This window comes from Homo sapiens, chromosome 15, assembly GCF_000001405.40.
Source record: "Homo sapiens chromosome 15, GRCh38.p14 Primary Assembly".
NCBI classification, from domain to species: domain Eukaryota; kingdom Metazoa; phylum Chordata; class Mammalia; order Primates; family Hominidae; genus Homo; species Homo sapiens.
In genome coordinates this window covers 73,886,844-73,901,577 of record NC_000015.10, presented here as the reverse complement: position 1 = coordinate 73,901,577, position 14,734 = coordinate 73,886,844, and the positions used below count along the sequence as shown (strand labels likewise).

Genomic DNA, 14,734 nt, shown 5'->3' with positions numbered 1-14,734 from the left:
CAGACTCCTGGCCTCCAGAACTGTAAGAGAATGAATGTGCATTACGTTAAGCCACCAAGTTTGTGGTAATTCGTTACAGCAGCCATGGAAACAATACACCTGGGAAGCAGACTCTGATGAAGATGTGCACATGGGCATTTGCATGAGGAGTGCTCTTGGGGGCATGCCCCTCACCTGTGGGGAGAGAAGAGCAGAGGTGGGCAGTTGCAGGTGATTCCCTGGGAAGCTCCAGGGCTGTGGTGGCCTGCAGAGTTACCCCAGATTGAGGCAAGAGAGCCTGGCCCAGGGACTTACACAATCATTGGATGAGGCTTCCCTGTGCAGGGGATGTGGCTTTAAATGGGGCAGCTCCTTTTGGCCAAGAGCAGTTCATGGAGAGGGACTCAACTTTGAGCCCTCGGCCATGCTCACCTTGGTCCCGAAGCAGGCCTCGGAGGCACAGCTACGCATCCCCAGAGCTGTGGAAGGTGCATCTCTCTGAATCTTCTTTCTTTGCTCTGTGGGCCTGGTAGTTCGACAACTTTCTAACATCCTGGACTTCCTGATCTATTGAGGAATTCTGCAATGCATCCACATCTCTCCCTGGGCAAGAAATTGGGCTTTGAGTCCCAGTTTCTATAATTGTCATTAAGTGTTTTACATACACTGCTGTCTTTAATCCTAGGAATAACCGTAGCTATTAGCCGCATTTTACAGATGAGCAGACTGATACTTGAAGAACTTCAATGAATGCTCAGAGTCAGAGCTGGGACTCTTCCTAGGTCTGCCTGATGCCTCTTCGCTACCCTGTGACTTTGCCTCTCATTGTCCACCCTTACTTATTAGCTGCATCATCTTGAATAGACCACTGAACTTCTTTTGGCCTCAGTTTTTTTAAAAACAAGACTCTAGTCTCTGTCCTGCCTCTCTCCTAGGACTGTTCTCACTTGGCTCCAGGAGAGAGATGTATGCAGGCTTTGTGCCTGGGCCTGAGACTCTGCTGCTATGACTCCCTGGATCCAGCGAGTTTGCTCTTGCTGTACCTCCCTTTGCCCAGTCCCCCAGTAGCTCTGGGCCCCTGGTCCAGGGGAGAAGGAGAAAGCAGGACAGGTAGGGGGTCTCATATGAAGGTCTCTTCTCTGGTGCCTTGTGGTTTTCAAGTATGACTCACCCCTTTCATACCATTTCCCCCAGCACTGGGAATTATGCAGGACTGCCGTGCATGGTTACATGGTTCGTGTGCCAGGCCTCAGCCAAGGGTGTGGTGGGGATTGAAACCCAGCCCGCGCCGGGCACTTTTTGCTTAGCACGAAGGCACCATCTGCCAAGAGGCTGTGTCTGCGCAGAGGGGCCTGTCTTGTTTCATTCTCACAAAAGTCTTGCCTGGGTTCTCAGTGGCCCGGAATTATATGTTGGCTTTGCAGGAGCCCAGGGCTGGCAGCTCAGCCCTCAGACCCTGGCATTCAGGGCAGAGAACGGGTGGTGATGGATGTATAGGAGGGAGAAGCAAACCCACACCCAACTCACAGTCACATCGCCAGAAACCACTGATTCTGCAAGTCCCTCTGTGGGAGCTGTCCAGTTTCTCCTGGAGACAGGCAGAGGGGGCGGGGCCCCAGGACTCCTGGGCTGCCCACCTCAAAGCCCTTGGCCCAGTCCCCTGTGCAGACTTCTGGCACAGAGGCCCGCATCCCAGGCTGAGCTCCCTGGGGCCAACCACAGAAGGTCCAAGTGCTCTGCGTTCCTGCCTATGTTTTTAATTACCCCACTTACTTTCCCATTCATCTTTCCCTTCCCAGTCCTTTCTGTACAGCCCCCAGACTAATGTGCCTCAAATCCTGATCTCACTGAATTCCTTCCCTGGCTCAGAGACTTCTATGGCTCCATTCTGTCCAGGCTCGGCATTTAGCGTTCATACACACACCCCTCTCCAAGGGCGACGGCTGTTCCTCTTTTCTCTCCTCTGATTCCGCCTGGGCTCCCTGTCATCTCCTGTCCCGCCACCTCCCACCTCCAGACCCTTGGCCAGACTGTTGCCTTCCTGGATCTCCTTCCTTACTCTCTCCTTTCCACTATCTAAATGTTAACTTTCCTTTCAGGTTCCCCTCACACAGAGCGGAAGCACAGCCCTGGCATCAAGTGGGAGCATGGCCCAGGGCAAGGAGCTCTGGGAGTGCAGCCTGGGGCCTTGAATGACCCGGAGGACTGGATTTGAGGAGGGCGCCTCCTGAACCTTCTTCTGTCCTCTAGAGGGACTGCACCAGATGGCAGCTTCCTGTGAGCGGGAGCCCTCAGGTCAGGAATTGAGGGTGCATCCAGCTGTGAGCCAGGGGCCATGGAGCAAGGCTCACCCGCTTCCCAGGAGGTTCTCAAGGGCTGGGCTCTCAGGTAGAGAAACTGAAGCTCATCAGACCTCTCGGCCACGGCTACTTCAGGCTCCTAGGAGACTCACCTGCCTGTAAAGATGGTACCAGGAGCTAACAATTGCTAGTGAAGTCTAATATGGGAGCTGCTAGCCACACGCGCTTCTGAGCATTTGAAATGCTGCTGTTCCCAATTACAATGTGTTAAAGGTGTAAAATATATGCCAGATTTTGAAGACATTGTGCCAAAAAAGGTAAAATTTTTATTAATTATTTTATATTGGGTCCATATTGAAACTATATATATGTGTGTATATATATGAGTGTGTGTGTATATATATATATATATATATATTTTTTTTTTTTTTTTTTGAGATGGAGTCTCACTCTGTCACCCAGGCTGGAGGGCAGTGGTGCAATCTTGGCTCACTGCAACCTCCACCTCCCGGGTTCAAGTGATTCTCCTGCCTCAGCCTCCCAACTGGCTGGAATTACAGGCACATGCCACCACGCCTGGCTAATTTTTGTGTTTTTAGTACAGACAGGGTTTCATCATGTTGGCCAGGCTGGTCTTGAACACCTGACCTCAAGTGATCCGCCCACCTCAGCCTCCCAAAGTGCTGGGATTACAGACATGAGCCACCGTGCCCAGCCCACATTGAAACAATATATTATGAATATATTATGAATATATTGGGCTAAACACATTTTTTTCACCTGTTTTCTTTTTCTTCTTAAATGTGGCTATTAAAATTTTAAAATACATTGTGGTTCACTCACATTCTGTTTCTACTGAACACTGCTGGTCTTGGGCGTAGAAAACCACAGGAGAGGTCCGTGGATGGTTTTTCACAGTGAAACAGGTAATGTTTAGGAATCAGGTTGAGGAAACGGAGGAGGCCTCTGATTCCAGCCCCACACAGCCCTGACCGTGGCAGGGGATGAGTGCTGGCCTAATGACCTGCCCTGTGGCCAGAGGGCATGGCTTGCACAGCTGCACCCTGTGCCACACGGGCCTGGTGAGGCAGAGCAGTTCCCTGCTGGTGAAGCAGCAGCTCCCTGGGTGAGCCTGCGCATGGTGAGGGGTTGGAGACCGAGAACCCAGGGAGGAGGCTGAAGGACAGATCCTCTCCAGACTGCCCTCATTACCATTCGGGGAGATGACTCAGCTGAGGTCCCTGCTCTCCTCAGGCCATGATGCGGGCCATGATGATGACCACTCACAGTGAATCACACGGAACTACACTGAGAATGTGTGTGTGTGCTGGGGGGCAGGAAGGATTCCCAGCCAGGAAAGGAGGAGTAGAGGCGGCGCGTGGGTCCCACTGCACCTGCTCACAGGGTCCTAGGGCTGCTGGGAAATGCTTCCGGGGAAACCCGAGGCTCCCCTGGTCCCAGGCTCCTTCCCCATCAAATTTGCAGCTAGAGTACAAGGCGTAGGGCCTCTGAGAGCCATGAACAACAGAGTTCTCCCTGTCCCCCTTTCAGACCCAAAGCAGCTCTGGGCCAGCCAGTTAGGCTTCCTCCCTCTCGGCAACACCTCTGCCCCAGAGCACAGGGATTGCCCAGGACTCTTGCAACCTGGGCAGGGTGCCTGGTCCCTGGGGCAGCCAGGCCTCCCCATGGAGTCCTGGGCTTGTGGAGGAGGAGGAGCGCCCTCTGTAGGCTGGCACACGCAAGTGCAGGCTCCACAGGAAAGAGGAGGTGGCTCACCCTGGAGGCTGCACCTTGTGGCTGTGGGAAGCCACAGATCCTGCAGAGGTCCTCTCTCCTGTGGCTACAGCTTCTTGGGTTACAGAGTAACTGTTAATTCTGAACCTGACTACTTCTGTGGCTTTCCAACAGCTACCATTTCTTTGAGTCGAAGTTTGCTGGGCTAAATGCATCATAGACATAGCCATATTACAACCTGTAAGGCAGGTATTGTTATTTCTAATTTCTAGGTGAGAAAACAGAGGCTCAAAGAGGTTAAGTATATTGTCCACGGTCACACAACTATTACCTGGGGCCCGATTCCAGAGTCCAAGGACTAACCAATTCACACTGCAGCCCACTTAGGGTCTGGCCTTCTAGGAGGGAAAGAGAGGTGTGAGGACATTCAGGGAAACAGCTCTGGTGACCTTCAGTGCGGCGACCAAGATGAGGTGGGGATGATGGAGAAATGGAGAGGATCCAAGCCATGGGATGGAAGTGACAAGAGGCCATTGCTTTGAGTTGCCCTGAGAAGACGTTTGTCAATATCTCCCCAGCCCAGTTATCATGGGCTATTTCTTGACATCTTGACATCACCCCTACCCCACACACATATGGCAGCCCCATTCCACTACACATGCACCACTAGTCAGCCATGGGGCATGCACTGGGACTTCATGTTGTCCTCCATTTCAGAGGGGGAAACTGAGGACTAATGGGGGCTGGGATTTCCCCAATCTCAGGCCATCCCACTGATCACTGGCAGACTTCAGGCCTACCCCACTTACTGAGTTAAACTGGAGTGCATACCGAGTCTGCCAAGGAGAGAGAAGTCTGGTGTTGCCTCTGAGCCTTCTTTAGGCCTGTGGTTGGGGGCCTCACGCTTCCTCTCCCCAACACAACAGACCTTGTATCTCTTATTCAAGTTTACCGCCCCTCCTTGTGCCTTTGTTCCGCCACGTTCTCTAGCCCCCTTTCCTATTGAGCTAGGAGTTTTGAGAACTCATTGTCACCAACTCCCCCCACCATCATCTTCATCTTCTCCGCCACTGCTCCGTTACCCTCATCTCATACTGGTCACTACAATGACCTTCATTGCCCCCACCACTCTACCATGGCCTCTAGCACTTGAGCCGCCACCTTGATCTTCACCATTACCACCACGACCTGCCATTGTCATCATTTCTATCCTTTGTGATGGCAGCGTCACTATTTTCCTCCTCGCCATGACTTCCACCCCTCACCTCGGCATTGCCATCCTCTCCACTATGACTGCCACTAACATGACCTCTGTCATCTCCACTTCATCTGCAGAATCACATCCAGTATCACCTCCACTATCGCTGTCACCACTGCTGCCACTACCAGTACCTCCATTATATTTGTCCTCACTACCGCCATGGCTCTCATCTCCTCCAAGCCCATTTTCACCTCTGTTGTCGCCATTATCTCTGTTGTTCATGTCACTATCATTACCAGGAACTTCATCACCCTCACCTCCACCTCTGCCGTCTTCTCAACTATTTCCAACTCTATCACTTCCACCATTACCTCTCCCATGACCTCCACCACCTCCATCATCCCTATCACCACTACTCTCCCCACAAAGTTCAGTGCCTAGCATTGTTCCTGGGACTTGAGTGAGGAGCCCGGGCAGAGAAGAATATCCTGCCTGGCTGACAGACATCTTTGCGCAGATTTCTCAGAGCAGAGCATCGGCAAGCCAGGTGTCCGAACAATCCCTCCTCTTGACCTGAGAGCTGACCCTTCCTCAGGATGCTTCTGACAGGAGACAATTCAGTCCTCTATGTCAGCCATGCCCGTACGTAAAGAGACAGCTGCTGTCTAGTTGAAAGATTGAGGCCATTAATCTGGGCTGCCCTTGTTTGCATAATGATTGCATACATTTGCATCCTATTTGCTCCCAGCCTCTGAATGCTGCACTACCGGTGTTCGGGTACAATTTGCATATCACTGCAGGTGAGGGTCAGACTTTTGAGACTTTGGCTCTTACTAACTCCCTAAAGAAATTCTTTTATGTGCCGGCTCAGAATAGAACTTGGAATGCTTAATTCTAGAGTCAGTCAGCTGAAGGGCTCTAAGATGGGAGGGTAGGGAGGTCTATTCCAGAGCTCCTGGAAAGAGGGCAGCCATTGGTGTGGTCCAGGAAGGAGAGTAACAGGAGATCGACTGCGGAGACAAGCTCTGCTCCTGGACAGTGCCCTGCACAGTCACTCCTGTCCTCTCTGGTCCGTAATCACTCACTGTGAGGACTTCCTTGAACTCCCTCTAAGTGGAAGGAAGGAGTCAAACCAGCTGATCACTAATCCCCCTTCATTAAACTCCTGTTCTGAACTCAGGTGTTCTCATTCCTGACCGTACTTTAGAACCACCTGGGAGCTTTTGAAAAAGACCAGTGCCCTGGCCCCACCCCTAGATATGCTGGTTTAATTGGTGGGCCCTGGGAATTGGTTATTTTTAAAAAGCTCCCTTGGTGATTCTAATGTGCACCCAGACTAAATGCTATTGCTTGTGACTCCGCCCTCCCGTGCCTGCCACCAGCCTCCTTCATTTCTGGTTGTGAATCTCTTCCCCACTACAAGCTCAGCGAGCACCAGGGTCTGGCAGGACAGTGGAGCTAGTGCTTTTGTTTGAGGTCCCAGAAATAAGTCCTTTTCCCTCTTGAGCAGTGTGGCTGATGGCACTTGGCACCAACTGGAAATTCCCTCCTCTCTGCCTTGGTCTTGTTCCATCCAGGGGGTCTCTGCCATGGGGGCTGGTCCAGAGAAAGGTCGGCAGGGGCAGGGATAGGAAAGAGAGGCTACTCCTGCACAGCCCTCCTCCACCCTGTCTCCCAGAGCTGCGCGCCTCTCCCCTCACAACACTTGGCCCACCCCAGCTGCCCAGGCTTTGCTGCTGCTGCTTCCATGCGGGACCTGCCAGCCCCATCTTGGGTCCCCACACTCACCCCTGCAGACTGACTTCCTGCAACCCCAGACCCCCAGCCCACTCCCCATCCTGGAGAAGGAATGCACAAGGAATGTTCAGAGCTTTGTTTCAAAACAAGATGCAGTAAACATGGCTGCATCTGGGCCCTCCCACACTTACTGGGGTAATCGAAGGCATAGAGAGGGACGAGGGAAGTAGGACAGAGCTTCCTGCACACACCACCCCTGTCATCCAGCCCTGGACCATCTCGGCCCATCGGTGGGGCTTCAGCTGCCAAGGGTGGGGTGGCCTGTGAGATGAGGGCCTGCTCTGCAGAGGACCAGACAGGAGACTCAGTGTGGGCTGCGGGAGGATGGCAGACGCCAAGTGAGGCTGTGGGCAGGGAAAGAGGTGAAAACGGAAGCTGCCCAAGAGCCAATACCATGGCATAACAGTGGGGCCCTGGGGTTCGCCCATCAGCATTCACATCCGGACTTGGCAAATCACTAGCTGTGTAACCCAGTGCCTCAGGTTCCTCGCTGGTAATGAGAGGGTAATGACTGCACCTGTTTCTGAGTTTGAATTCAGTCATGAGGGTGAAATCAGAATCAGAATTCTGATTCTGTTAGATAAAGCATGCGAGTGCTTAGCACAAGGCGTGGAACATATTAATTACCCAATTAGTACAGCTTCTGTATAATTGTGAGGGTAGGGGTCACGTGCCCTTGTTCGTGACCTCCTGAAGCTCCAGCCCACCAGCTGTCCTTTGGGGTTGGGTCCTGGGCAGTGGAGGCCCTTCCTAGTAGCTATGTTCTTCCTCCTGAAAGGAGGGAGTATCCCTTCCTCCCCACTGACCAAAGGTCTGGTGGCTTCAGGCCAGGACTCGGTTCTGCTGGCAAGCCTGAGGGTAGGTGCAAAAGCCCACCTTCTTTCTTCCTCTCTGAGGGGGGTAACACAGACCCTGGGGCCCAGAGAACTTGGAGTTTTATCCACGGTGCCTCTGTGCAGTTGTTAGTGGGTAGAGAGCTATTATCCTAACTCCAGGAACAAAAAGTGGCCTTGGGGTCATTCAATGTAGCCAGAGAAGAAGGAATAAATGAATGAATTCTCCAGGGAAGAGGCTTAGAAGAAGAGTGAAAGAGAGGTGAGGGTGAGAGCTTGGAAGAAATGCAGCCAATCCAATCCAAGCTTTCATATCTGGCTCAGGACCAAGTTTTGGAAAGCTTGGATGGGGCCTGGCTGCTTCCATTTTCTTTATGCTCATGGCCACGGTGATTCATTTAAAGATATTATGTCTAGGCCTTGCTCATTGGAAGTGTGCTGGGCACTAGTTTTTTCAGAATGAATTAGTCACTGTTTTCATCTCCACCATGATTGCCCTCACCACCAACACCATCATCAATATCAGAGCCCTCCCCACTGCAATCCCCTTCAGTCCCTTCCTTGAATCTCATCTTTTCCTCTGGCACTATTTAAGGAGTACCATTAGAGACAGTCAGTTTTTGTTGGCAGAATGAAAAGTCAGCACTATCATCACCACCACCAGTGATGACATCATTACCACCACCAGATTCTATATCACCTCTGCCACTGATGTCACCATCACTACCACCTCCACCATCATAAATGACATCACACCTCTGCCACCAACACCGCCATATAATTAGCTTCACCACCATCACTGACATTACTACCACCATCACTGACGTCGCCGACATCACCATCACCATCACCGCCATCATCACTGACATTATTGTGTTATTGTCATGGAATTCTTGAGGTATTCCTTTCCAGCTTGAAACCTGTGTGGACAGTGACGCCTTTGCCTGAGTTTTGCTCGGGCCTACTGGGCTTGTTTGCCCACTCAGCCTGGCAGGCATTCGGCTCGCACTATTGGCCTGGAGCCCACACTTGCCAAGGGAGAGCCAGACATGGAGTGTTGAAGTGTGTGTGAACGAATGAGTGTGGGGTCTGGCCACTGCACACAGACAGCCAAGCATGCCAGCTGTGGTGGGAGGGGCAGCTCCAGATGCTGGTATGGGTGCTGGCTGCAGCTGGACCAGGAGTACCACAAACAGCATCCATGGCTGGCACAAGGGAACGCAGCGGTGCATGGAAGCTTGGAGACACCAAGAACCACAGAGCCCCAAAGACGATGTCACAGCCCTGGCTTGGGGAGCTCCTAGGTCTGGGATCCCCAAAAGGCTATAGCTCTTCTCTCCTCTCTTCTCTCCTTCCTGTCACCTGCAACATGGCAAGCAAGGGGTGGGTTTCAGCCCTCTTTGTGTTATAGCTCTTTCAACCCTGCCATTCGGTGGGTCTCAAGTTTTGTCCCACATCCAGGAAGAATGAGGTATGTGGACAAGTGGAGGGTGAGCAAGGCAAAGAGTTGCTTTATTGAGCAACAGAACAGCTCGGAGGAGACCCGCCCTGAGTAGCTCCTCTCCACAGACAGGTCATCCGGTAGTCTGCCTGAGGCTGGCTGAGTCTGGGGATTTTTATGGGCTTCAGAGGGGAGGAAGTGCATGCTGATTTGTCCATGGGTGGCCATGGGCAGACCCAGAAAAAGCCCCATAGGTTGTCACTCCAGTCTGTGGAACTGGCAGCCTGGCCCCTAGTCCTCAGACTGTCCCTGGCCTGAAGGTGGGGTTCACCAGGATCTGCCCCTTTCCACCCAGGATCTGCCTGCCTCCTGCTGTCATTAACCTGCCATCCACGGTGCCCAGGCTGTTCATGATGAGGGGTGCCTGAAGGCCCATGCCGAGCCATCCTTAGCACCCACCCCCTCAGCCTCTCTTCCATGCTTGTCGGTGCCCAAAGTCCAGAGGGGGGCCAAGAAGGCATGGGGCTGGTGTGTAAGTGCTGCCCCAGGTGTGAGCACACCTGGCCGGGTTGTGACAGCACCTGGTCTCAGCCACAGCTTTGCTCCGAAATCAGAGTGGGCACCAGGAGTGGGGAGAGGCCAGGCAGTGGGAGCAGGCAGTTCTGAGCCTGTGAGGGCATGGGGGTTTCAAGGGCCCCCAAGAGTGCAGAGATGCCTGGGTCCACAGCCATGGCAGGGTGGCTGCAGCTGTGCCAGGGAGGGTGGGGCTCCCACCCCTCCAACTTGGAAGGGGGCGGGGCTCCTGCCTGTTTCTGGCTCCCACTGGCTCCATGGAGCATGCAGCCCTCACTGCGCCTCCCCCACTGCAGCTGGCATCATGGCAGTGGCTGCTCCAGATGGGCTGCCACTGCCATCATTAGAGCAGTCCAAATGGTCTAAGACAGTACTGAATAAATGCATGCTGAAATAAACTAGACTGTCATAACACAAACTTAGGCTCTAGGATTTCAATGCTTCCTGTAGTTCTATCTCCAGAATGGACCCTACTAGAGAAAAACAACACTGGGCTGTATAAATGATAAACTAAGTGAGCCAGAGAAGGGGGAATAAATGAATGAATTATACAGCCCAGTGTTATTTTTAAGGACCTGCATAGCAGCATGGTGGGAAGATCCTAATCTACAGTCTGCTGGGCTGGGAGTACTGCAGATGAGCTGAGAGAAGCTCCACTCTTCCAAGATTGTTACTTTCATCACTCCATCACCTGGGATTTATCTGAATCTGGATCAATTTGGTGTCAAGATTGAATCCACCTCGTCCTTAAGACCTAACAGGTTTTCAAATATGCACCCTAGTAGACAAGAGGCTCCTTGCAGATAACACAGGAAATGATGTGAGGTTCAAGGAGGGGGGCTTGAGAGGGGTGGTCGGGGGAGAGGGCTCTGGGATCTGCACCCAAACTTCATCCGCTGGGCTCCTGGGAAGGACTGTGTAATAAAGGGGCTCCAGTGCTTTTAACAACAGATTTGACAGCAAGTGGTCTAGAAGATGAGTTCTTAAATGTTTGTTTTGAAATAGATGTTTGGCATTGTGTGTAGGTCCCAACCAAAAATAATCGGCCATCTGAAGTCACCAGTCTAAAAGAAGCATTAGAAAATGTTCATCTGATGTTTCTATTGATTGTTCTCTTCCCAAGGCCAAAACTAGCTCAGCAAGATGTCTTTTACTCTTGTTCTCTGCCTCTCTGGCAAAATGCAAACACAGTTTCATCCTTGGAGAACTGTCTTTCATGCGGGAACACTTATTTAAATAAACTGCCTTAGGAACATAAAAGCAAAGGAGAAGTGTAGTATATGAATTGACCCATGTGCCTCCCTGCCCAGCAAACATGAGCTCTTTAGCCATGCAGAGAAGGTGTTGCTGGGGGGACAGGCCCTCATTCTTCAGCATTCCCCCTCAACCTTCCAGCAAAGATACAGCAGCTAAGAGACTCAGAGCTGGTCCTGGATGGGAGACTGTCGCCTGAGGGGAAGGAGACCAAGCACTCATTGGGGACATAATGGCTTTGGAGTGATGGTCACTAAGAGTGCCAGGATGGGAGCAGAGGGAGGGACAGTTGGCTGAAGAGTGAGAGGGATGGCCATGCCTTACCTCTAAGGACCAGTTCACAGCAAAAGCAAGGGATCCCTCCTGCCCATGTGTAATGTCAGCCCTCCTGAAAACTTGTAGTCACTGGGCAGGGCAGTGTGTATGTGTGTGCATTCGTGTGTGTGTGTATGTGTGTATGTATGTGTGTTGCTGAGCAGCTCTGGGGGCACCCAGCCAGCCCCAACCCTTCTGCAGTTTCAGCCTTTCTGGCCCATCTACATGTCTTCCCTCAGAGGGGCCAGCTAGAGCATGGGGCAGGCTGGACAGGGGCTCAGGGCTGTGGCACAGCCTGGGGGAGCAGGTGTGATGCACCTTTTCCTCACAGAGCAACTGACTGCCTGGCCAAGGGCAAAGAGTGCATTCTCAAGAAAGATTGATCAAGACTGGAAAATAAAATGTAGCTTGAGGACACATTTGCAGGCTGATAAATGAAGGCACAATTATGAGGGAGGCTTTGAAACCAGGAAGGGAATTGCCTGCTCATCAGATAGTTCTTCCAGGCCAGCCCCTTCCACAGACTAGCAGGAAATCTCTGGAAAAAATGACTTAATTGTGTGATTGATGTGACAGGACTCAGGGGAGCAGTGGGGGTGGGGGCAGAGCCCCAGGACCAGCCTTCCTCTCAGGACCTAAGTCCAGATGAACTAATCCTTATTAAATGTGCTCAGTTTTGTCCTCCACAGGGGTCTGGAAGCCTTTCAGAGCTGGTTCTACTCTAACCATTTGTATCCAGATATGGATCCACCGCAGCCTTGGAAAACCCTCCATCAAGGAGGAGCCACTGACCCAGTCTCTTCCAGCAAGCACCCTCCCTAGTCTCAGAATGTGTCTCTCAGCCAGCCAGCCTCTCTTCCTATCGTACGACCCTGTCTCAGCCCTCATGTGCGTCCCAGCCCCTAAGGTCAAAGACATAGCATCCACCACAAACCATTATTCCAGAGGACTGTTTATATTGCAGCTGTTTTATCTACTCCCTCACTCCAGTGCCCCTGGCCTTCATCCTGCCCATCGAAGGCATCAGTCCACTGCGGGCTTTGGTGTCCTCAGAGGAAGAAATCCTTTAATGTCTGAGGAACCTAGGGAGGAGGCAGGTGGGAGGTGCACAGACATTGGTCTGTCCCTTTCATTCTTCGGTTCTTCTAAGCAGCGACATTCTCCTGAGCCTCTGGGTGCCCAGACCCACTGGGATGGACACAGGGAATGGGGGATGAGGGCCCTGCTCTCAAGTAGTACAGCCTGCTCAGGGAGGAAGGAGCTACATGTGCAAACAACGAGAAGACCATGAGGAGCAACATGCATGGGTCAGTGGTAGAGAACGTGGCACAGTCTGTGTCTCTGAAGTTGAATGCACCTGCCATGGGCTGCGTTTGGGAGATCAGGATAGGCTCTGATGAGGAGGAGGAGGAGGAGGAAGAAGAGGAGGAGGAGAAGGAAGAAGAGGAGGAGTACGAGGAGGAAGAGGAGGAGGAGGAAGAGGAGGAGGAAGAAGAGGAGGAGGAAGAAGAAGAGGAGGAGGAAGAAGAGGAGGAGGAGGAAGAAGAGGAGGAGGAGGAGGAGGAGGAAGAGGAGGAGGAGGAGGAAGAGGAGGAGGAGGAAGAGGAGGAGGAGGACACATCATTGGGGCAACTTACATCCTTCTGGATGAGCTCAGCATAAACCACGCAGGCGGCAGAGATCAGCTCATCAGCATCAAGGTCGATGAGGTTGTTGCAGGCCTGCATGGGAGTGTGGGAGCAGTTGTGGGTGGGGCTGGGGCAAACATCTCCCAGCACTCTTGGGCACATGCAGCTGCCTGCAGCACCCAGGGAAGAAGGATGCTGCTCACAGCAGTCGCTGGGGACCACCTGACCTCTCCCCAGCCTGCTTGGCTCAATGCCTAAAATTTGATATTTTGGGGCAATGGTAAATGTTAGCTTTCATGTTAGGCTCTAGGAGTCCTGGGGCTCCACCAAGTGTCTTAGGGGCTTTGAAGGAGGACTTGGTTTATAATTAGGGTGTCACCTAAGATTTGTTTCTTCCAACAAAGACTTCAGTAGCTTTTTTAAAATGGTGGAAAACTCTAGGTCCTTCTGTTTCAGCAATATCCTAGGGCCACAGGGTTAACTGCGAGATGGTAGAGCTTAATAGTTAGGGAGTGTTCAAGGCCTCCATTTCCTCATGTGTTAACTAGGGGTGATGATGATGGTTATAGCCTCCCTGTGTCAAGCTTGTGGTGAGGCTTAAACAAGCTCTATTAAAAGCCCTTGGCACGGTAATCCGTACCTTAGATCTCATTGCCCTTTCTGTCTGGGGGGAAAAGGTGGCACTGGTGCCCAGCACCCCATGAACCCCGGTCTTTCAGCTGGGGTGGGGTGGGGTGTCAGGGCCTCCAGGAGCAGGGGTGGTAGCTTGCCCGAGGGTGCTCTCACCAGGAGGATGTCATCCCCGCCCATGCTTTCCTGCAGCACCTGCTCCCGCACCATCTGCAGCATGCTGTAGGCCACCAGCACCTGGAAGTTCCTGCAGGGCTTCCCCGTCAGCAGAACCTGTGGGTCAGGACGTCTCAGTCTGGGCCCTGTGGTCTGAGACTGCAGATGCCCTGAGGATGGTGAGGTACCCACCAACCACGTGCCTGGAGTCAGCCATTCCTGGGCCTTGCTGCTGACTTGCTCATTCAATCATTCCTTCATTCACTCACTCACTCATCCACTCACTCAGGCATGTGCTCACAGGTACTCCTGGTTCTAGGCATTGTGCTGTCTCCTGGGGGTTTCAGAGATAGAGGCTTCAGGGAATTCATTAGATAGAGGAAGGGGAGGGAGGCAATGAGGGGTGGGAAGACACTAGGAAACTGTCGAATTTGAGTGGGGTTTTGGCAAGCAAGGGTTGATGGGAATTAAATGACCCAAGGATGTCACCAAAGGCCTGGGTGTGGTCATGGACTTGGGCATGGAGACCAGCCAGCCAAGAGGCAGGTGGGAATAGATCTGTGGGGCCCTACATGCCAGGTGGATGGTTGGGCTGGACACTGCAGGCAGCGGTGGCCATGGGCAGGGCATTGATGGGTGGGGGTGGCATTCCTCAGAGGGTTCATCTGCTGATGGCCCTGAGGATTGTGGTCACAGGACTACAGGTGTCCTTAGGGACCCACCTTCTGTGAGAGAGTTCCACAGGAGCAGCACTCTGGGGAAGGGGAAGGCCAGGGTTGGGGGGACAGCTGGGGAAGTGAAAGCGTGGGGAGGCCACCTGGGCAGGGCAGCGGGGAAGTGGAGCTGCAGGCCCAGGCTCCCACTGCACAGGCCATAGGGCCCTCCTGTGTCAA

The 14,734-nt window shown here is 52.7% G+C and overlaps 1 protein-coding gene across 10 annotated transcripts in view, besides 1 other annotated feature; it reads right to left on the bottom strand.

Moving 5' to 3' along the window:
• The window catches only part of TBC1D21 (TBC1 domain family member 21), a 36,461-nt gene that overhangs the window by 8,447 nt on the left and 13,280 nt on the right, over positions 1-14,734 (bottom strand). For 3 of the 10 annotated variants that reach the window (XM_011521281.4, XM_047432198.1, XM_011521283.3), the window contains 2 exons: positions 13,842-13,958; positions 13,065-13,148 (listed from right to left, as the gene is read on the bottom strand). In XM_011521281.4, the coding sequence (XP_011519583.1) occupies positions 13,065-13,148; positions 13,842-13,958 (201 nt within the window). Of the gene's footprint in view, positions 1-531; positions 583-12,363; positions 12,795-13,064; positions 13,149-13,841; positions 13,959-14,734 lie in introns of those variants that run through there. The other 7 variants (NM_153356.3, NM_001286434.2, XM_011521282.3 and 4 more) reach the window with 6 other exon arrangements.
• Positions 14,207-14,465: a silencer, noted in NCBI's record as "fragment chr15:74179454-74179712 (GRCh37/hg19 assembly coordinates)". NCBI's record gives its function as "represses an EF-1alpha promoter that drives an FKBP-Casp9 reporter gene in an ReSE screen in HepG2 liver carcinoma cells {active_cell/tissue: HepG2}" and the evidence as "EXISTENCE:reporter gene assay evidence [ECO:0000049][PMID:32094911]".